General features: G+C 38.1%; 1 protein-coding gene and 1 long non-coding RNA gene across 9 annotated transcripts in view, besides 1 other annotated feature; one reads left to right on the forward strand and one right to left on the reverse strand.

Moving 5' to 3' along the window:
* SCN7A (sodium voltage-gated channel alpha subunit 7) overlaps window positions 1–2,443 on the reverse strand; it is a 90,677-nt gene extending 88,234 nt beyond the window's left edge. For 5 of the 8 annotated variants that reach the window (XM_006712680.3, NM_002976.4, XM_011511615.3 and 2 more), the window contains exon 1: window positions 2,162–2,443. The gene's annotated coding sequence lies outside the window, so the exon portion shown is untranslated. Of the gene's footprint in view, window positions 1–1,915; window positions 2,051–2,161 lie in introns of all 8 variants that reach the window. The other 3 variants (XM_047445398.1, XM_047445397.1, XM_047445396.1) reach the window with 1 other exon arrangement.
* The window catches only part of LOC124906087 (uncharacterized), a 46,983-nt gene continuing 31,880 nt past the window's right edge, over window positions 8,815–23,917 (forward strand). Inside the window, exon 1 of the long non-coding RNA XR_007087280.1 lies at window positions 8,815–8,954. This is a non-coding gene — a long non-coding RNA (uncharacterized LOC124906087). The remainder of the gene's footprint in view (window positions 8,955–23,917) is intronic.
* Window positions 19,105–19,358: a silencer, noted in NCBI's record as "fragment chr2:167367421-167367674 (GRCh37/hg19 assembly coordinates)". NCBI's record gives its function as "represses an EF-1alpha promoter that drives an FKBP-Casp9 reporter gene in an ReSE screen in HepG2 liver carcinoma cells {active_cell/tissue: HepG2}" and the evidence as "EXISTENCE:reporter gene assay evidence [ECO:0000049][PMID:32094911]".

Genomic DNA, 23,917 nt, shown 5'->3' on the forward strand with positions numbered 1-23,917 from the left:
GTTAGTGGAAATAATGGGATCAGACTCCCAGAAATCAAGAATGTCCCTTTTACCCAATGCCTCCACCATAAGCTTTCAGGAGGGAGTCTAAGGCAGTAGGTAGATGGTGAGTCAATCTCTGAATACCCCAGTTGTGACACGTATCTCAACCCAATGAGATCTAGGGCTGGAGTGCAGATTTCCCAATCCCTGAGTAAGGGATTGGGGAAAATACTGTTATTTTTATTTCTAGTATGCTTTGGACAGGTATTTATCCTACTTTGGGAAAATCAGTGAGAGTGTATATCCGCTACCAAACCATCTACCACACGAGGCTACGGAGACAGAATGCCCAGTTTTGAAGTGCTTGGCTCTGCCTCCAGTACTCCAGTAGAGACTGATATGCAGCAGCAGGTCCAACGGTCGTGTGCCATCTGGGATCTGATGACCCCTTTTCCTGAGCCCATGTACAAATTGAGTTCTTTCTTCTATTACTTTAAACATATCCATGGGAAAGAAGGGACTCACAGTACCTATCCCCCAGGTGCAAGATTTTAATGAATCTTTGCAGTCAAGATTAGAGTATTTATGCCTAAATTTTGATTTCTCCTATGTTAAGTAACGGGCCAAATACATTCAGCAATATCCAATATACGTGATGGCTTCATCCCCAGGAAACAGGACTACAGACCTAAAATCAATTTTAAAACTAAAAACAGAAAGAGGGTAAAGCATATTTGGAGAATATTACAAGGTTTAAATATGCAAAGCTAGCCAAAGCACACACTTTTCACTTTTTTGAGGATAAAGGCTTTCAGATTAGAATATGCTTTAAACTGTACAGGTGGCAAGAAAAGGATTTGAATTTCACTTCCTCTAGTGCATTCTAGAGATGCATGTCAAAGCCCTCTGTATGCTTATATTGAATCAGACTTAGAAGGAAAATCAGAATAGTGAAGTAGATAAAAACACAGAATAATCCCTTATGTAATCAACAGTTACACATATGGTACTTTCATAAACCCTTTATATCATCTCTGTCAATTAGTTTTTGTCAGGACTTTTTGGAGTGTCATTTATAAATAAAGAAAATAAAGCTTACTCAAGTTAAATAATTGGCTTAATTTGTACAAAAATTGAAATCAAGTTTTGTAGTTCTAAATCCCAAAGACTTGTTCATTGGACTTCCCGCTCAATTACTGATTTGCCAGGTAGCCTCAGCAAATTACTCCTTATAGGTCTTACTTGTAAAAACAGCAGCTGGATTATAGAATCTTTAATTAAGGCTAGTCATAGCAGGTATGGTGCCCAGGATTCTGTTTATTACAGGGCCCACTTTCCTTCTACTTTGCCATAAATTGCTCTCCTGAATGAACAGCAGTGGGGTAAAGTATCCACAAGAAGCACCACCCAAACTCTTTCCCATTTCAAGATATTTTTCAGTCCAATATCCAAACTGGAACCCATCATTTTCGTTAATGAAAGGGGCCCATCGGTGTGTCATTCCACATGCACTCATCATTTGTCTTGTTTTGACCAATGTTCTAAGTTTTGAAGCTAACACAACCAGTCACACTATCACTTCTAAAAGAAAACCTCCAGAAGAGATGCATTTTATAGAGCAAAACAATGCAAAAACAACAACAACAATCTCTGTTGATCTAGTCAATACCAAAATGCCCAACTGACTAAACTGAGCACACCACTGCCAATCACATCAATGCCTCTACTTTTATACTATCTATTCCTTTGGGAAAATCAATCTTGAAATCTCTGTTATTTAGAATAAGAGATAGGATTCTTAGAAGAAGTGTACAACAATCTGCATAACCTTTCCTCCATTTTATACTATCATTGTACCATGTAATGTAAGTCATTGTCATATAGGGTTTCTAGAATTTTACACTAACAGAGAATGTTGGTTTCAGAAGCTTACCTGATGGAATTAGAAAACTGACGGCACATGCCATGCAAACACCCACAGACCACGGCTGCTCTTGAAGTATACTCTTGAAGTAACTCTCCTAATGCACGTCCACAATTTCAAATCTCTGTCCTCCTGCTGGGGACCCTAAGGGTGTGTATGGGATGGGGCAGGTGGGAGTGGATGGGAAAGGCTGGCAGCGGATAGCGGCTATCACCATTCTGGGACTGGACACAGCAGCAAGAAAAAGGCACTTACTTGCTACGAAGCGACAGGTCTCCACCAGTGCCTGAGGGACCCTTCAGGAGCAGGGCTCCTTGGAGCCCTTTCCTCCTCCTGGGCTTCTCTTTCTCCACGGATCTCTCGGGTTTTCTGAGCTCTAGTTGTACAGAAGCTGCTGTTAGGCTGGCGTCTGTCCTCACCAGCTGTGGCTCTGCAGTAAATGGGCCCCACTAAATGGCCAGTTAGACACCGACTCACTGGGGCGACTCTCCAGCCACTGACCCAGAGACCCCTCCTACCCAGATGTCCAGTGGAGCCGCGCCCGCTGCTTGGAAGCTGTTTTTGTCTCCTTTCCACTCCTCCCTCCCCTCTCCCAGCCACTCCACTCTCTCCCCCGCCCTAATCTCCAGGCCAGTGAGCGACTTCAGCATCCAGATCGGGCGTGGGCGGGTGATATTGACAGAGACCTGCTGCAGATGCAGTAACAGCAGCAGCTGTGGCGTCTCCTCCAGCAGCTGCCGGGAAGGGAGGGAGGAAGAGGAGCGGGGGGCTGATGAGGAGGGGTAGAGGGGAGAGGGCCTGCAGAGCGTGAAGGAATGAAGGGGCTAGGGAACATCCAAGGAGGAGAGGAAAAGGAGCAGCGCGGTGCAGCTGAGGGGGAAGGGAGAGTGAAAATGAGGGAGAGGAGAGGAAGACAGAAAACTCTGGTTCTTTAACCTCCAGTTGTATTCTCTCTCCCCTTGCCTAGGTGCCCCAGCAGAACTTAGAGGGGCAATTGTCAGCCTGCAGCATTCAAATCTGGACATTGCTGTAATTAAGAGTTTGTAATCCTGTTGTTGTGTGAGTATGTGTGTAGCTGTTTTTAGGAGAGTCAAGAGTCAGCTGGAGCTGGCTTTTACTCTGGATCAGTTTCCCACTCTAGTGATTTGAAACACGAGGGACAGAGGAAAAATTATGTTTATTTTAGAAAACTGCGGCAATACAGTGTAGTTTGGGAGTGAAGGCCAGAGGGGTTGCACCTTCTTCCCAAAGGCCACACCATAGAACCTTCATTTTGTAACCCTATTTTATGCACACATCACATCACTTACTTCAAAAATATATCAGCATATGTCTCTGAATGGTAAGAACTTAAGATTTTAACTCAATACCCTGATCACATCTATAATTAGCAATAATTATTTTGTAGCATCAAACATTCACTTGATTTCTTTATAATGGACAATTGACTGACTGCAGGCTTCTCTTCTCCACACTCTGGTGATGATGCAAATGAATTTTCTAGAGCATAAAACCTTCCCTTAGAGCAGTCTGACACATATATCCCTTTTCACCCAGTAAAATTCTACACACCTTTCTGTACATTCAAACACAATATAAATTTAATGAACTTAATATCAAATATTTCAAAGTTTCCATGTGATATTTAAAATAAATAAAAAGAAGTACTGCTTTTTATAATGTGTAATGAACAGGCAGTTGATCCCAAGATATTGTACAAACCAATCACATAAATGAGAGGCAAATAGATGGGAAACTAATGGTGTTGGTTTTATATTCTGAGTTAGCTAGCCATTTTCTTGTTTTGGAACAAATATTTGTTTTGGGACAAATATTTGGCACTACGGTTATATAACGGTTATGTAATATTACCAGGTTGGATCTGAAAAGTTTTGGCAATTATCGTGCCCCTAATAATGAGCTGAGGATCCTTCCTCCCCCACTGAGTTTCTCAGCAGGAGGAACTACATAGTGGAGGGTCTGTTTTCAACATTTCTGCCTTAAGAACTTTATAAGCATATTTCTAAACTCTACTTTCTAAGTATGTATTCAGTAGGTGGGAGCTCTAGACCCCACATACTCTTCTGTGTCAGGAGAGAAGCTGGCTGTATCACACTACACTTGAACTCGATACGCCACTGTGGGCATTAGCTTCCTTTCAGTCTGTTTAAATGGGAGCTGTTTATTGTGACCTCAGAGATGTCAGTGTCAGAAGTGTGGATGGACTCGATGTTTTAATTCTCAAAAAAGTCTCTACATCCAGAGTTGACAAAACCCTGTATAAAAAGACAAGCAAACAACTCTCCCAAAACACACTCAAACAAACCCAAAACTCTTTCTTTGGAGATATGTTCTCCAGTTTCATCATCTTTTTCTACCTGGCTACATGGTAGCCATTATGTTCTGCCTTTATGGACACTCTTATTTATTAAGAATTTATTCTGTGGTTGACAGTCTTTCCCTCCATTCAAACTCTTGCTTTCCTTCTTAAAAACTTTCTCATCCATTTGAATACCAACAACTATTTGGATGAAGCATCCAACAGCCTAACTTCTGATTTCATCCTTAATGGATTATCTTCTTCTCCAAATCATCTCTGCTATCAATTCCCACTTTCACAATTTGAATCCTATTGTAGTTAGCAACTGCTTTGTATTTCTTCTTAGTGCTTATCTGGCCTGTGAAATAGCTATTGCTTATATGTTTATTTTCTGTCTTGTTCCACTAGACTGCTTTCTGCATGACAGCTGAGACTTATTTATTTCCTGCTCTACAATAGCACTTGTAAGAGAGGATGTAATAGAGTAGGTACCCAGTATATTTGCTAAAGTATTGAGCATTATTCATACCTAATCCACTCTATGCTTTGTGGGAAAATGTGGAGATTCACTATAGGAATAGACCATAGATCACATGCAATCTAAAGAACATGAGAATTGTTTGTTGATCTGTTTCATTCTTAAAACCTGGTGCTTGGATGCTTTAAAGCTTCTATAATATACAGGTGTGAGAATTTCCTCTGGTTTCAGAATCTTGATATAAAGCATGAGCCTGCCTGAAAAGAAATGGTAATAAGAAAGTCCAGTCATGTCTATGGGGAATACCAAGGGATGCAGAGAAATAAAGCACTCAGCCTCAAACCTAAGCTATTTTTGATAATAGCCATTCTAACATGTGTGAGGTGATATCTCATTCTGACATTATCAAAAAGATGAATGATAACAAGTGTGGGTGAGGATGTGGAGAAAAGAGAACCCTGTACAGTGCTGGTGGGAATGTAAATTAGTACAGCCATTTTGGAAAATAGTAAACTCAAAAAACTAAAAATAGAATTACCATATGATCTAGCAATCCCACTCCTGGGTATATATCCAAAGGAATTTAAATTTCTATGTCAAAAGGATAGTTGCAGTCCTACTTTAATTCAGCATTATTCACAGTAGCCAAGATATGGAAGCAACCTAAATGTTTATTGCTGGATAACTAGGTAAAGAAATGTGGTATATATACAAAATTAAGTACCACACAGCCTTTACAAAGAAGGAAATTCTGTCATTCAAGACGAGGTGGTACTGGTGTACATTACGTTAAATTAAATAATCCAGGCACCAAATGATAAATGCCACATGATCTCACTTATATGTGGAACTAAAAAAGTCAATCTCATATAAACAGAGTAGAAATGTCGTCTCTAGAGGTTGGGAAGGGGAGGGAGAAGGAAATAGAAAATGTTGATCAAAGAGTACAAAGTCTCAGAATGGATGAATACATTTTAGTGATCTGTTGCATTGCATGGTGACTACAGCTAAAAATAACATTGTATATCTGAAAATTGCTTAAAGAATAGATTTTTTAACATACTACAAAAAAAGGATAAGCTGGTGAGACAATGGATATGTTAATTAGCTTGATTCAATTTTTTACAATGTATATACAAATCAAAGCATTACAGTGTACCCCATAAATATACAATTATTTATTAATTTACCATAAAGTAAAATAAAATAAAATGCAAAAAAGGGAGCTGTGCTTCTTGGAATGCATTCAGAAGGTAGAAGATCTAGACCCAGATGTTCTGCCTTGTCAAGAGAGAAACCTCCTCTATCACACTGCACTTGAACCAGATAGGCCCTGGGAGACTTTACTTTCCTTTTAGCCCATTTAAATAAGGGTTGTTTATTCTTACCTCAAACACATCAGTGTCAAGAGTGTGAATGGATACTTCCCACAGCCTTATTATAGGATAATATAAAATAGAGACTCATTTTGGTTCGCTGTCACAATGCAAGCCTAGATTTATTGAAAGATGAATATAATGTGAATCATATTGTAGAATCCTGTCTTCTGAATCATTTGAATTTTATGATTTTTTATTTTATTTTATTTTATTTTTTGAGACAGAGTCTGGCTCTGTCACCGAGGCTGGACTGCAGTAGTGCGATCTCAGCTCACTGCAACCTCCATCTCCCAGGTTCAAGCAATTCTCCTGCCTCAGCCTCCCAAGTAGCTGGGATTACAGGCGTGTGCCACCATGCCTGGCTAATTTTTGTATTTTTAGTAGAGACGGGGTTTCACCATGTTGACCAGGCTGGTCTTGAACTCCTCACCTCAAGTGATCCACCCTCCTCGGCCTCCCAAACTGCTGGGATTACAGGCGTGAGCCACATGCCTGGCCTTTTATGATTCTTAATACTTCATATATTCTTTTGCAAATGCAGGTTATCTTTTCAAGTGCAATGGGCAATATTGCTGGCAAATACCTATTATCTTTTATTTATTTTTTTAAAATGATACATTTAGGGCCTACAAGTGCAGATGTCTTATATGGATTGTGTTGAAGTCTGGGCTTTTAGTGTAACCCTCACTTGAGAAAATTTTCAACCCTCGCTCCTTCCCACATTCCCACCTTTTGTAGGCTCCAATGTCTCTTATTCCACTCTGTGTCTATATGTACCCATTGTTTAGCTCCCACTCATGAGAACATGTAGAAATACATATTATTTGTTCCTTTCAGTTTTTTATCATCCTTACATGCCTGCACAAACACAGTACTGCCCAGAATCAGTTTCTTGTCATTGTTTTTATGTGTACAACATTCAACTTATGATTCTATTAATACTTACGTGTTTGCTTTCCTTGGAATTACTCTAGAAAACCTTACCACAATCTTCAACCCTGTCCTAAGTTCCAGAACTATAAGAATCTGTACCTGATCCGTGAAAAAAACAGAACAAAACTGTAAAGAGCTGTTTGCAAATAACAGAGGAGAAAAATAAACAACTTGTTTCTTAGGGATTCTCAGAAATGAAAGAACAGGTCATAGATGATAAGAGTCACTTGGACCTCTCTACAAAAAAGTAGACAAAATCCTTCCAGACTATTGATAATTCATTGACAAATTTCTAAACTGGTTTCAATTTTCCTAAGATATATACATAAACACATTGTCCCAGTTCCACTTTTCAAATATGTTCCAAAGTCAGGCATAGTCAATACAAATCTTAGAAAAAAAAAGTCAATTTAACATTAGAAATCAGCAGAGAAAATATGTCAAACATCTCATTGAGAAAACACATTCATAATATAAGTTGGACATTTTATGCCTATATTATTTAATACTTTTTGTTCCCTAAAACAGATTCCAAAAATCATAGGAACATCTGGAGTTTGTGTTCAAAATGTTCCTGAACATAATACATTCCATTACCAATTTCATGTCCAAAAATTCTCTCTCAAGTAATTCCCAGCCAGGATTGGCAGAAGCCCAGGATAGTATATTTTCAAGTGAAAAAATAAAATACAATTACACAGATAATTACAAAGTTGTAATCTGTCACTTATCTGGAAGTCCCATTGTTACTTGTGTGCATATACATGAAATAGTTGAATATGTGCATGCCATGCGCAAAAGTCAGAATTGACTGCTGTAATAAAAAAAAAACTAAAATAACAGTGGCTTAAATGAAACAGAAGCTTATTTCTCTCAAACATATCATTCTGGGTATAAGCAGTCCAGGGCTACAAAATACAAAGGAATTAGGATATTTTCAATCTTGTTGATTTTTCTACCTCTAGTGGACAAGCCCCACTTGCATGAATGAAGACGGATTAACAACACTTTTACATTCCAGGCAGTGGAAAAATAGAATAGAGGAAACCAGAAGCATTAATTAATACGTTCTTGAGTTCATATCTTGTTGGCCAGAACTTAACCCCAAAGACAAAACTGGTTGCAAGGAAAGATGAGTAATGTCATATTCATTTTGGTGCCTATTTCAAGAGCTAAAAATTGAGGTTTCTAATAAGGTAGATAAAGATAACAATAAGTTTGGGGGGATGACCAACACTTCTGTCATGCCATGTCTGTGTCTACAGTTGACATTCTGTTTGGACTGGATGCCCCTGCTGAATTAGGAAAAATATTGTGACTTTCAAGGATTTTAGAACTTGCAAAAGCATAATCCAATTTACCAATAAACCTTTCCTCCAACCTAAATTAGAATTATCAAGCAAGGAATTCATATTGAAGAACAAGCAATTGAATAGTATAATAATAGATTCTAGTTTATTTCCTCAAATTCACTAGGTTTCACAGTTATATTATTTCATTCATTTCTACCACTTTGTGTTTGGTTTAATAATAAAACACCAGCTCAAAATTTTTCTCACATATTTTCCCCTTCCCCAATTATTTAAGACAAGTCAAACAAAACCCAGAAATTCCTAATTACATTTTCAGTGAAACTATGAAACATCTGTAACATCAAAACATACAATATTAAATAGAATGTAGGTGGAAAAATTAAAAATTATTTAGTAAAGTAAAACAAAGAAAGTCTAACTTACTTGTCTGTGAAAAGTAAAACTGGTAAGAATCAAGCTAATTCTATCTACAGACAACTATGACATCTCAGTCCTTGAAGAGACCTGGTTATCTTGCAACTGGACAAGGTTGGATGCTGAAAACAGAAAGTTGTTTGAAAATCTTTAGACCACCAGAAGGCCAGCTCCAACTCACCCTGACTACTGCTCTCATCCTCTACTTAAGGTGAGAAGTATGTTCTCTAGAAAATTTGCATTATAGAGTCTTGAAATCTGAGGTATTAAACACAGAAGATGGAGAGAAGTTCTGCCCTGGAAACAGGAACATTAAAAAGTTTGTATTCTAAATGATGACATTCTTCCCCTCACTCCAGGTTCTTTTCCTTACTCAGAACCCAGAAATCCGGTCCCCATATTTTATATTTCAGAAGGGCTGTTCTAAAGTCTTCCTCTGAAAAACCTGACCTGACCCATAGGGTAGACCCACTGATATTGGCATTTTAGTGTCCTCAACAAAAAAGTTAACTGATTACAGGCTCATCCTAGAATAAAGTCTGCTAGTCCTCAAGATTTACTTCCTCAACTCCCAAACATATGCATAAATGCATAGAGTATCCTGTTGGTTTCTTAGTGATCACTAAACAAGAATCATTGGATATTTGAGGAATGCCTTCAGCATGGCAGAGAAAAATTGAAACAAACTTATTGAAGGAAGTGATTCAGTGGAGGTAGAGATAGTAAGGCACAGAAGAAAATTCAAACATAATATGATCAATTTGAGAAATAAGAGAGGTATATTTATGAAGAAAGAAGAAGATGCCATATTTTAAAGGAACAGAATAGAAAAATACTGTATGATCTCACTTGTATGTGGAATCTAAAAAACACCATCTCACTGAAGCAGAGTATAAAAATGTGGTTTCCAATGGCTGGGACATAAGAGAAATGAGAGGAGATGTTGGTAAAAGACACAAACTTTCAGTTATAAGATGAATAAATTTTAGGGATCTTGTGTACAGCATGATGACTACAATCAGTAATACTTTATTTTTTTTGTCAGAATTTGCTAAGAGAGTATATCTTAAGTGTCCTCACCACAAACACACACCCACACAAATAGTAATCATGTGTAATGATGAATGTGTTGATTAATTTGACCATGGTAATTATTATAGAATATATACATAAGTTAAATGATCTCATTGTACACCTTGAATATATGTAACTTTTATTTCTCAATTAAACTTCAATAAAGCTAAAACATAAAGGAACAGTATATGAAAGAGCTCTTGGAAATTTAATCTATGAGAGCTTATTATTATTATCAAATGGTTTGGTAATAAAATTATGGAAATTATCAAGAATGTATGGGAAAAAAGGACAAAGAGACGGACATTTAACTTTAAAGTGAAGAAATGTGACAAACCCTACTTCTGCCAGGTGATCAAGGTCAGCATCAACAGTCATAAATCATATTGATTGTATGTACCTTTGATATACGATATCATGAAAATCGCACTTTACCTCTGTGATATGCCTCCAAAATCCCGTATCACCAGACTAATAATGAGGGAAACATCAGACAAATTCCAATAGAAGAACAACATACAATATACCCAGTACTCTTCAAAACTGTTATAGAAATCAAAACAAGGAAAGTTTAGGAAATATCCATGTCCAAAAGGAACCTAAGGATATGACAACTAAATGTAATATGGCAAGCTGAGTAGGATCCTAGAACAGAGAAAGGACATCAGGCAAAAGCCAAAGATATCTGAATTAACCATGTACTTTAGTTAATAATTATGTCTCGACATTGTTTTATTGATTGCAACAAATACACCCTATTAATGTAAAATGTTAATAATGGAGTAAATTGTGTATATATCTTGGGGGGTATATGGGTACTCTTTGTAATATTGTCTCGATTTTTTGCTAAATTTAAAACTTCTCTAAAAAGTAAAGTCTAGGTTGCAAAAATTTTCTCCCATTTTGTAGGTTGCCTGTTCACTCTGATGGTAGTTTCCTTTGCTGTGCAGAAGCTCTTTAGTTTAATTAGATCCCATTTGTCAATTTTGGCTTTTGTTGCCATTGCTTTTGGTGTTTTAGACATGAAGTCCTTGCCCATGCCTATGTCCTGATTGGTAATGCCTAGGTTTTCTTCTAGGGTTTTTATGGTTTTAGGTCTAACGTTTAAGTCTTTAATCCATCTTGAATTGATTTTTGTATAAGGTGTAAGGAAGGGATCCAGTTTCAGCTTTCTACATATGGCTAGCCAGTTTTCCCAGCACCATTTATTAAATAGGGAATCCTTTCCCCATTGCTTGTTTTTCTCAGGTTTGTCAAAGATCAGATAGTTGTAGATATGTGGCGTTATTTCTGAGGGCTCTGTTCTGTTCCATTGATCTATATCTCTGTTTTGGTACCAGTACCATGCTGTTTGGGTTACTGTAGCCTTGTAGTATAGTTTGAAGTCAGGTAGTGTGATGCCTCCAGCTTTGTTCTTTTGGCTTAGGATTGCCTTGGTGATGCGGGCTCTTTTTTGGTTCCATATGAACTTTAAAGTAGTTTTTTCCAATTCTGTGAAGAAAGTCATTGGTAGCTTGATGGGGATGGCATTGAATCTGTAAATTACCTTGGGCAGTATGGCCATTTTCACGATATTGATTCTTCCTACACATGAGCATGGAATGTTCTTCCATTTGTTTGTATCCTCTTTTATTTCCTTGAGCAGTGGTTTGTAGTTCTCCTTGAAGAGGTCCTTCACATCCCTTGTAAGTTGGATTCCTAGGTATTTTATTGTCTTTGAAGCAATTGTGAATGGGAGTTCACTCATGATTTGGCTCTCTGTTTGTCTGTTGTTGGTGTATAAGAATGCTTGTGATTTTTGTACATTGATTTTGTATCCTGAGACTTTGCTGAAGTTGCTTATCAGCTTAAGGAGATTTTGGGCTGAGACAATGGGGTTTTCTAGATATACAATCATGTCATCTGTAAACAGGGACAATTTGACTTCCTCTTTTCCTAATTCAATACCCTTTATTTCCTTCTCCTGCCTAATTGCCCTGGCCAGAACTTCCAACACTATGTTGAATAGGAGTGGTGAGAGAGGGCATCCCTGTCTTGTGCCAGTTTTCAAAGGGAATGCTTCCAGTTTTTGCCAATTCAGTATGATATTGGCTGTGGGTTTTTCATAGATAGCTCTTATTATTTTGAAATACGTACCATCAATACCTAATTTATTGAGAGTTTTTAGCATGAAGCATTGTTGAATTTTGTCAAAGGCTTTTTCTGCGTCTATTGAGATAATTATGTGGTTTTTGTCTTTGGCTCTGTTTATATGCTGGATTACATTTATTGATTTGCATATATTGAACCAGCCTTGCATCCCAGGGATGAAGCCCACTTGATCATGGTGGATAAGCTTTTTGATGTGCTGCTGGATTCGTTTTGCCAGTATTTTATTGAGGATTTTTGCATCAATGTTCATCAAGGATATTGGTCTAAAATTCTCTTTTTTGGTTGTGTCTCTGCCCGGCTTTGGTATCAGAATGATGCTGGCCTCATAAAATGAGTTAGGGAGGATTCCCTCTTTTTCTACCTACTCATCTGACAAAGGGCTAATATCCAGAATCTACAATGAACTCAAACAAATTTACAAGAAAAAAACAAACAACCCCATCAAAAAGTGGGCAAAGGACATGAACAGACACTTCTCAAAAGAAGACATTTATGCAGCCAAAAAACACATGAAAAAATGCTCATCATCACTGGCCATCAGAGAAATGCAAATCAAAACCACAATGAGATACCATCTCATACCAGTTAGAATGGTGATCATTAAAAAGTCAGGAAACAACAGGTGCTGGAGAGGATGTGGAGAAATAGGAACACTTTTACACTGTTGGTGGGACTGTAAACTAGTTCAACCATTGTGGAAGTCAGTGTGGCGATTCCTCAGGGATCTAGAACTAGAAATAACATTTGACCCAGACATCCCATTACTGGGTATATACCCAAAGGACTATAAATCATGCTGCTATAAAGACACATGCACACGTATGTTTATTGTGGCATTATTCACAATAGCAAAGACTTGGAACCAAGCCAAATGTCCAACAATGATAGACTGGATTAAGAAAATGTGGCACATATACACCATGGAATACTATGCAGCCCTAAAAAATGATGAGTTCATGTCCTTTGTAGGGACATGGATGAAATTGGAAATCATCATTCTCAGTAAACTACCGCAAGAACAAAAAACCAAACACCGCATGTTCTCACTCATAGGTGGGAATTGAACAATGAGATCACATGGACACAGGAAGGGGAATATCACACTCTGGGGACTGTGGTGGGGTGGGGGGAGGGGGGAGGGATAGCACTGGGAGATATACCTAATGCTAGATGATGAGTTAGTGGGTGCAGCGCACCAGCATGGCACATGTATACATATGTAACTAACCTGCACAATGTGCACATGTACCCTAAAACTTAAAAGTATAATTAAAAAAAAAAAAAAGGAAAGTCTATTATTTAATTTTTTTAAAAAGTCGTGTTAGTGTAGGCAAGACTCATTGATGGATTCTAAGATTAGTGAAAGAAAATATTTGCACAGTCTCAAAGAATCTAGTTATAGGATAGATATTCATTACAAAGAGGAAAATAGTAACTTTATAGTGGATTATCCTAACAAAGTCCAACATAATCAAATGACCAAAGTTAATATCACCAATAATAAGACTTCAGGTACCATGTTTCTCCTGATATAATTCACTGTAAAGGCATCAATATCATTTCTGTGGCATTTTCCCAAATATGCATAAATTTAATATAAACAGGAGAATACATCAGAGCAGCTCAAATTAAGGAATATTCCACAAAATAATTGGTCCGTCCTCTTCAAAGTGTCAAGCTTTTGAAAGGCAAAGAAAGACCAAGGAACAGTCATGGATTACAGGAGACTAAGGCAATATAACAATTAAATATAGCATGGAACTCTGAAATGGATCTTTTTTTTTCATTGCTCTTTTCTATCAAACGTTTATTTTATTTTATTTTACATTTTAAGTTCTGGGATACATGTGCAGTATGTGCAGGTTTGTTACATAGATATACATGTGCCATGGTGGTTGGGTGCACCTATCAACCTGTCTTCTAGGTTTTAAGCCCCACATGCATTATGTATTTGTTCTAATGCTCTCCCTCCCCTTGCTCCCCACCCTCTGACAGGCCCAGATTGTGACTTTCCCCTCCCTGTGTCCATGTGTTCTCATTGTTCAGCTCCCACTTATGAGTGAGAAGATGTGGTGCTTTGTTTTCTGTTCCTGTGTTAGTTTGATGAGAATGATGGCTTCCAGCTTCATTCATTATCCTGCAAAGGACATGAGCTCATTCTTTTTTATGGCTGCATAGTATTCCATAGTGTATATATGCCCCACTTTCTTTATCCAGTCCATCACTGATGGGCATTGGGGTTGGTTCCAATCTTTGTTATTGTAAATAGCACTGCAATAAACATACGTGTGCATGTGTCTTTATAGTAGAATGATTTATAATGCTTTGGGTATATACACAGTGATTAGATTGCTGGGTTAAATGGTATTTCTGGCTCTAGATCCTTGAGGAACCACCACACTGTCTTGCATGATGGTTGAACTAATTTGCATTCCACCAACAGTGTAAAAGAGTTCCTAATTCTCCACAGTGCTGCCAGCATCTGTTGTTCCCTGACTTTGTAATGATCACCCTTCTAACTGGCATGAGATGGTATCTCACTGTGATTTTGATTTGCATTTCTCTAATGACCAGTGATGATGATCTTTTATATGTTTGTTGGCCGCATAAGTGTCTTCTTTTGAGAAGTGTCTGTTCATATCCATTGCTCACTTTTTGATGGGGTTGTTTTTTTCTTGTAAATTTGTTTAAGTTCCTTGTAGATTCTGGACATTAGATCTTTGTCAGATGGATAGACTGTAAAACTTTTCTCCCATTCTGCAGGCTGCCTGTTCACTCTGATGGTAGTTCCTTTTGCTGTGCAGAAGCTCTTTAGTTTAATTAGATCTCATTTGCCAATGTTGGCTTTTGTTGCAATTGCTTTTGGTGTTTCAGTCATGAAGTCTTTGCCCATGCCTATGTCCTGAATGGTATTGCCTAGGTTTTCTTCTAGGGTTTTTATGGTTTTAGGTTTCACATTTAAGTCTTTAATCCATCTTGAGTTAATTTTTGTATATGGTATAAGGAAAGGGGTCCAGTTTCTGTTTTCTGCATATGGCTACCCAGTTTTCCCAACATCATTTACTAAATAGGGAATCCTTTTCCCATTGCTTGTTTTTGTCAGGTTTGTCGAAGAACAGATGGTTATAGATGTGTGGTGTTATTTCTGAGGTCTCTGTTCTGTTCCATTGGTTTATATATCTGTTTTGGTACTAGTAACATGCTGTTTTGGTTACTGTAGCCCTGTAGCACAGTTTGAAGTCAGGTAGCGTGATGCCTCCACCTTTGTTGTTTTTGCTTAGGATTGTGTTGGTTATACAGGCTCTTTTTTGGTTCCATATGAAATTTAAAGTAGTTTTTTTTCTAATTCTGCAAAAATAGTCAATGGTACCTTGATGGGAATGGCATTGAATCTATAAATTACTTTGGGCAGTATGGCCATTTTCATGATATTGATTCTTCCTATCCATAAGCATGGAATTTTTTTTTCATTTGTTTGTGTCCTCTTTTATTTCCTTGTGCAGTGGTTTGTAGTTCTGCTTGAAGAGGTCCTTTGCTCAGGGAAGGTACTTGTAAGTTGTATTCCTAAGTATTTTATCCTCTTTGTAGCGATTGTGAATGGGAGTTTACTCATGATTTGGCTCTTTGCTTGTCTATTATTGGTCTATAGGAATGCTTGTAATTTTTGCACATTGATTTGGTATCCTGAGATTTTGCTGAAGTTGCTTATCAGCTTAAGGAGTTTTTGGGCTGAGACAATGGGGTTTTCTAAATATACATCGTGTCATCTGAAAACAGAGACAATTTGACTTCTTCTCTTTCTATTTGAATACGCTTTATTTCTTTCCCTTGCCTGAAGTTCTGCCCTGGCCAGAACTTCCAATATCATATTGAATAGGAGTGGTGAGTCAGGGCATCCTTGTCTTGTGCCAGTTTTCAAAGGGAATGCTTCCAGCTTTTGTCCATTCAATATGATATTGGCTATGGGTTTGTCACAAATAGCTCTTATTATTTTGAGATATGTCCCATCAATACCTAGTTTATTAAGTTTTTAACATGAACAGATGTTGAATTTTATCACAGGCTTTTTCTGCATCTATTGAGATTATCATGTGGTTTTTGCCCTTGGTTCTGTTTATGTGATGGATTACATTTATTGATTTGCATATGTTGAACCAGCCTTGCATCCCAGGGATAAAGCCGACTTGATAGTGGTGGATAAGGTTTTTGATGTGCTGCTGGATTCGGTTTTCCAGTATTTTATTGAGGATTTTTGCATCAATGTTCATCAGGGATATTGGCCTGAAATTTTTTGTTGTTGTGTCTCTCCCAGGTTTTGGGATCAGGATGATGCTGGCCTCATAAAATGAGTTAGGAAGGAGTCTTTTTCTATTGTTTGGAATAGTTTCAGAAGAAATGGTACCAGCTCCTCTTTGCACCTCTGGTAGAATTTGGCTCTGAATCCATCTGGTCCTGGACTTTTTTTGGTTGGTAAGCTATTAATTACTGCCTCAATTTCAGAACTTGTTACTGGTCTAGGATTCGACTTCTTCCTGGTTTAGTCTTGCGAGGATGTGTGTGTCCAGGAATTTATCCATTTCTTCCAGATTTTATAGTTTATTTGCATAGAGTTGTTTGTAGTATTCTCTGACGGTAGTTTGAATTTCTGTGGGATCAGTGGTGATACCTCCTTTATCATTTTTTGTTGTGTCTATTTGATTCTTCTCTCTTTTCTTCTTGATTAGTCTAGCTAGTGGTCTATTTTGTTAATCTTTTCCAAAACCCAGCTCCTGGATTCATTGATTTTTGAAAGGATTTTATGTCTCTATCTCCTTCAGTTCTGCTCTGATCTTAGTTACTTCTTGTCATCTGCTGGCTTTTGAATTTGTTTGCTCTTGCTTTCTAGTTCTTTTAATTGTGATGTTTTGATGTCAATTTCAGATCTTTCCAGCTTTCTGAAGTGGGCATTTAGTGCTATTTCCCTCTTAACACTGCTTTTGCTGCGTCCCAGAGATTCTGGTACGTTGTATCTTTGTTCTCATTGGTTTTGAATAATTCCCTTATTTCTGCCTTAATTTGGTTATTCACCCAGTAGTCATTCAGAAGCATGTTGTTGTATTTCCACGCAGTTGTGCAGTTTTGAGTTTCTTAGTCCTGAGTTTTAATTTGACTGCAGTGTGGTCTGAGAGATTGTTATAATTTCCATTATTTTGCATTTGCTGTGGAGTGTTTTACTTCCAATTATGTGTTCGATTTTAGAATTAAGTGCCATATGGTGCTGAGAAGAATGCATATTCTGTTGATTTGGGGTGGAGAGTTCTGTAGATGTCTATTAGGTCTGCTTGGTCCAGAGCTGAGTTCATGTTCTAAACACCCTTGTGAATTTTCTGTCTCTTTGATGTGTCTAATATTGACAGTGGGGTGTTAAAGTCTTCCACTATTATTGGGTAGGAGTCTAAGTCTCTTTGTAGGTCTCTAAGAACTTGTTTTATGAATCTGGGTGCTTCTGTGTTGGATGCATATGTATTTCGGATAGTTAGCTCTTCTTGTGGCATTGATCCCTTTGCCACTCTGTAATACCCTTCTTTGTCTTTTTTGATCTTTGTTGGTTTAAAGTCTGTTTTGTCAGAGACTAGGATTGCAACTCCTGTTTTTTGTTCATTTGCTTGGTAAATATTCCTCCATCCTTTATTTGAGCCTGTGTGTGTCTTTGCACATTAGATGGGTCTCCTGAATACAGCACACTGATGGTTCCTGACTTTTTATCCAATTTGCCAGTCTGTGTCTTTAAATTGGGGAATTAGCCCATTTACATTTAAGTTTAATATTGTTATGAGTGAATTTGATCCTGTCATCATGATGCTAGCTGGTTATGTTGCACATTAGTTGATGCAGTTTCTTCATAGTGTCATGTCACTTGGTATTTATATTTTGGTGTGTTTTTGCAGTGGCTGGTACCAGTTTTTCCTTTCTATATTTAGTGCTTCTTTGAGGAGCTATTGTATTGCAGGCCTGGTGGTGACAAAATCTCTCAACATTTGCTTGTGTGTAAAGGATTTTATTTTTCCTTCACTTATGAAGCTTAGTTTGGCTAGATATGAAATTCTGGGTTGAAAATTCTTTTCTTTAAGAATGTTGAATATTGGCCCCCACTCTCTTCTGGCTTGTAGGGTTTCTGCAGCCTGATTCGCTGTTAGTCTGATGGGCTTCCCATTGTAGGTAACCTGACCTTTCTCTCTGGCTGTCCTTAACATTTTTTCCTTTGTTTCAACCTTGGAAAATCTCATGATTATGTGTCTTGGGGTTGTTCTTCTCGAGGAGTATCTTAGTGGTGTTCTCTGTATTTTCCCAATTTTGAATCTTGGCTTGTCTTGCTATGTTGGGGAAGTTCTCCTGGATAATATTGTGAAGTGAGTTTTCCAACTTGGTTCCATTCTCCCTGTCACTTTCCGGTACACCAATCAATCGTAGGTTTGGTCTTTTCACATAGTCCCACATTTCTTGGAGGCTTTTTCATTCCTTTTCATTCTTTTTTTTCTCTACTCTTGTCTTCACACCTTATTTCAGTAAGTTGACCTTCCATCTCTGATATCCTTTCTTCTGCTTGATTGATTCCACTACGTGTGTATGCTTCACAAAGTTCTTGTGCTGTGTTTTTCATCTCCATCAGGTCATTTATGTTCCTCTCTAAACTGGTTATTCTAGTTAGCAGTTCCTGTAAACTTTTATCAAGGTTCTTAGCTTCCTTGCATTGAGTTAGAACATGCTCCGCTAGCTCAGAGGAGTTTGTTATTAACCACCTTCGGAAGCCTACTTCTGTCAATTTATCAGTCCCATTCTCCATCCAGTTTTGTGCCCTTACCGGAGAGAAGCTGCGATCATATGGAGAAGAGGCATTATGCTTTTTGGAATTTTCAGCATTTTTGTCCTGGTTTTTCCTCATCTTTGTGAATTTATCTACCTTCGATCTTTGAGGTTGATGCCCTTTTGACGGGGTTTTTTTGTGGGGGTCCTTTTTGTTGATGTTGATGTTGTTGCTGCCTGTTAGTTTTTCTTCCAATAGTCAGGCTCCTCTTCTGCACGTTGGCTGAAAATTGCTGGAGGTCCACTCCAGACCGTTCACCTGGGTATCACCAATGGAGGCTGCAGAACATCAAAGATTGCTGCCTGCTCTTTCCTCTGGAAGCTTCGTCCCAGAGGGGCACCAAACTAATACCGCTGGAGCTATCCTGTATGAGGTGTCTGTTGACCCCTATTGGGAGGTCTCTCCAGTCAGGAGGCATAGGGGTCAGGGACCCACTTGAGGGAGGCAGTCTGTCCCTTAGCAGAGCTTGAATGCTGTGCTGGGAGAATCCTCCTTGTCAGGATCAGCTGCTCTCTTCAGAGCTGGCTGGCAGGAAAGGTTAAGTCCGCTAAAGCTGCGCCCACAGCCATCCCTTCTCCCAGGTGCTCTGTCCCAGGTAGATAGGACTTTTATCTGTAAACCCCTGACTGGTGCTGCTGCCTTTTCTTCAGAAATGCCCTGCCCAGTGAGCAGGAATCTAAAGAAGGAGTCTGGTGACAGCCGATTTGCCACGCTGTGGTGAATACCATCCAGTCCAGACCTCCCAGCCTCCTTAGCACTCTCGGGGGAAACCGCCTACTAAAGCCTCAGTAATGGTGGATGCCCCTCCCCCTACCAAGCTCCTTCATCCCAGGTCAACTTCAGACTGCTGTGCTGGCAGTGAGAATTTCAAGCCTGTGGTTCTTAGCTTTGTGGGCTCCATGGGAGTGGGACCTGCTGAGTGTGACCACTTGTCTCCCTGGCTTCAGTCCCCTTTCCAGGGGAGTGAATGATTCTGTCTTGCTGGGGTTCCAGGTGCCACTGGGGAACACACACACACAAAACTCCTACAGCTGGCTCAGTGTCTGCCCAAACAGCAGCCCAGTTTTGTGCTCGATACCCAGGGAGGCACACGAGGGACTCTCTTGATCTGCAGATTGCAAAATACATGGGAAAAGTACAGTATCTGGGCAGGGTAGCACAGTCCCTCACAGCTTCCCTTGGCTAGGGGAGGGAGGTCCCCTGGCTCCTGGGTGAGGCAATGCCCCACCCTGCTTCTGTTCGCCCTCCATGGGCTGCACCCACTGCCTAAGCAGTCCCAATGAGATGAATTGGGTATCTCAGTTGGAAATGCGGAAATCACCCGCCTTCTGTGTTGGTCTTGCTGGGAGCTGCAGACTGGAGCTGTTCCTATTCGGCCATCTTGCCAGATTGCCTGAAATGGATCTTGAACCAGAAAAATGACATTGATGGGCACTAGCGAGATTGTAATAAAGTCTGTAGATTAAAAACAAGAACAAGGGATTGGGCTGTAAATGGTATCAAATGTATCAATAGCAGCATTGGAATCCAGAAGACAATAGAGTGGCATATTCAAATTTCTGTACAAAATTTATCTCTAATCTAGATTTCTATACACATTCAGGCCATAAATCAATATGAGAGAATACAAATAATTTTTAAACATGGAAGTTCCCCAAAATGTATTTTATATGCACTTTTTCACCTTTATGTATTCTTGCTAAAGAAGTTATTGAAAGGTGTAATATATCCAAAGAGGGAGCAAAATGAAACAGTTCCTGGTATCGAATAAACAAGGTTTCAATATATGAGAAATGCAAAGAGGCGTTTCCTCATGATGTGAATGGATGTGCCGAAAGGGAGATGCACAGGAGGCCCCCAGGGTACTTGCTGCAGACTGGAGGTAGAGGAACAATGGTGTATTACAGAAATGAAAGGTGTCAGAATACTTGGCCAATGGTTTAAAAAAATACATTTAAAAAGTTATCCAAATATTAACTCTAAGAAAAACAAATATATATATATATATACACACCCATATATTTGAAGCAATATGATTACAGTACTCTCTGACTCAACAGAATCATAATTATGAAAATAACCAGTGTGGGCGTAATCAGTGTCATATAGCCACAGTGGCAGAATGACTGCATGGAAAGTGAATGAATGAGAGGTAAAATGTTAATTTTATATAATAGAAATGTTATAGATAGTATCTAATATGGATGAATTAGAAGACAGCAGTTTTTATCTATTTTTTGTAAATGTGGTAGAACATTACAGGTGAAACCACTAAAATGATTTAAATAATTGGTTATCAGGAAGAGAATTCAGGAAGATGAGAGAGTTTTATGTCTTTTAGGACTATTTAACTTTTTAAACTATGTTCATGTTTATCTTAATAAAACACAAAAATACATTGAAAATAAATATATAATTTTTTAGGCCGCAGTCACACCAATATGAAGATAATAAACAATGTCCCAACTTTTGTCCTGATTGATGCTTTATCTCTTTAATCCACCTGAAAAAAAAAATAAACCTGGAGTAATATATTTCACAAAACAGCAATTAAAGAGGCGGTTCTCCAAATAGATGGTATCCCCATCTTTTCACCTCATCAGGTATGAGAGGAATTTCCAGAAAAATAACCAGATATTAATAGGCTTTTCTTTTGTTAAATCAATATTGCATTATAGCTATAACCTGAGAAATTTCCTACCATCATCCTTCCAAACCCCACCTCTCCATTCAACTGAGCCCTCCGGATGAGTTACAGACCTTACCTTATCACCTCTCCTGCACTGCCAACTCTCTCCCAAAACTAACTGCATTCTTCAAGGAAACAGAATAGAATTTCCTCCAGGACTCCTCCCTCAATATCATAGCTTAGGGAGGAACAAATCTTGAAGGAATCATCAGTCAACTTGAATGAAATGCTCCAGGAGGAGCAACAGCATCTGTCTGCACAACAAATACCAGCTGGGATTAAAAAAACTGATCATCTAAATCCATTATTCTAGAATGTTTACAAACAAAGAAATTAGGATTTTTCTTCAACATACTAATGTGTTTCTTCTGTTTATACAAAAGCATGAAGAATTAATTATTACTTAATCATGAGTCAGGGACGTCTCCAAAAGTATCTCAAGCTATTTTGCCTCTAGCTGTATTTTCTTTTCAATTGTTTGTCCATTTTTTAAGCCCTTAAGGAATCCTTTGCTGCATCCTACCAGACTGAGTTAGCTGGCCAAGTTATGGGCTTTCATATTCCATTTATAATTAAGTTATTAGTTTTGTCACTATTTGTTTAATTGTACCTTCTTCCCAGAGTGTGACACTCAAGGAGACAGAGAATGTATCTCTTTCTTACCACTAGGTCTCAGTGTTTTAGACACTCAGATATATGTTTATTTGTTTTTGACTGATAGGCTGTAGGAGTGAATAGCTAAAATTATGAGCTTTGGAGACTCAAGAATTGTTGCCTATATTAAGTCATCTGTAAAAAAAGATAATAATGTATAGTACATATGTCTAAAGTAATTAGAAAGACTAAATGATGCAATAGGGCTCTTCAAGATGGTAATTACTTTAAAAATGTTACATTTTATTTATTTTTGGATTGTTGATAATAGAGACCTTCAGGACAATCAAAACAATAACAGAATAACAATGGTTTCCAAATATATACTTTACAGTAAAATTAATCTGGACAGGCTAGAGGAAAACAGCGCTGCATTGTAATTAGACAGGCTGCCTAGGAACTTGACTGCTTATTGTAAAGTACAATGAGGACTTTGGACAGGCTGGAGAGAGGTAACATGAGCAACAAAGGAAAGGAAGATTCTCAAACATACTAAATGTTTTCAAAACATTAAAGTTATACCGCATCTAGATCTCTTTTTGGAGGGTTCTGGTCTTGGTACAAGACCAGAATATTAAAACATAGCACTGATCACAATCAGCTTAAGTGCTTACTTAGTATTTATTGATAAATTAGTTTATAATCATTGTTTATAGATATATTCTATACAATGTATTATATGGTTTTAGAAATACAGTTTTCTATGTAGCGATCATATATAGCAAAAAATATTTGGAGAAAGCTTCAGAGAAATCAAGAAGAAATGTGAAGGTCTGTAAACAATTTTTCAGGCCTCCATGATCTGATTATTCAAGACCGTTTCTCTGCCTATCCACCTTTCTTCACTTCGATGACCAAAACTGAGGCTTTTGTAACTCTGAGAAGGAAGACTTACTTCTCCCTTTCTTCCTGATTCCTTTTCTTACCTGCTTCCTCATGGACCTTGCTCAATTAGTTTTCACCTTTTTTTCTTTATTTTCAAATGATACACTATGCACTGTATCTACAGAAGAAGAAACAAATGCCCAAACCTAGAAAGTTTTGTACGTGGTTTCAGAAGATCTGTGAACTTGTCTGAAGTTCATCTATTAATCTTAAAGTAGTCAGTGCAGTGAAACAAACTCCTGGTCTTTAATAGTTGATGTTTCTACATTCATCCTTTTTGTTCTTTCATTCCATTCTGGTATTTGGCCTTAGGCTCTTTCTTCCCACTTTAATGCTTTTGCCTGGGTCACCAACATGGGAATTTAATGTGAATAAAATACCTTGCAGAGGGTACACAATGCTTGCGTACCACTGAGGTAGTGGCCGATGTCCTTATAAGGCACCATATTAGTTTAGCTTTCCTTCAGTTTTTAATTTTGCAAGCATTTTGTAAAGTTTACATGACAAAAAATTAAAATTGGACATGTGTCAATGCTAATTAATTGATATTATATACAATTTTGTCTTAAACTTTAGTACACCTCATTTTGTTACAATTATATTATCTTTCTGGAAAATCAGGATATTATTTTAGGATCCTGGGATTTGAGAAGCACTGTATATAGTTATTTAACGAGATTCCTGAAACAAGAGAATCAATGAATGCTTTTCATTTTCCACCTGCCTAACACCCCTGTTGTATTATTTCCTTCTTGAAACTTTCTTTTTCTTTGTGTTTGCTGAAATCTCATTTTTCTGGCTCAATTTCTCTGGCACGTCTTCTCAAGAGATCTGGTTTTATTCCAGCTCTTTCTCTGGTTTAGCACTGTTTTAAAGA

This window comes from Homo sapiens, chromosome 2, assembly GCF_000001405.40.
Source record: "Homo sapiens chromosome 2, GRCh38.p14 Primary Assembly".
NCBI lineage: Eukaryota > Metazoa > Chordata > Mammalia > Primates > Hominidae > Homo > Homo sapiens.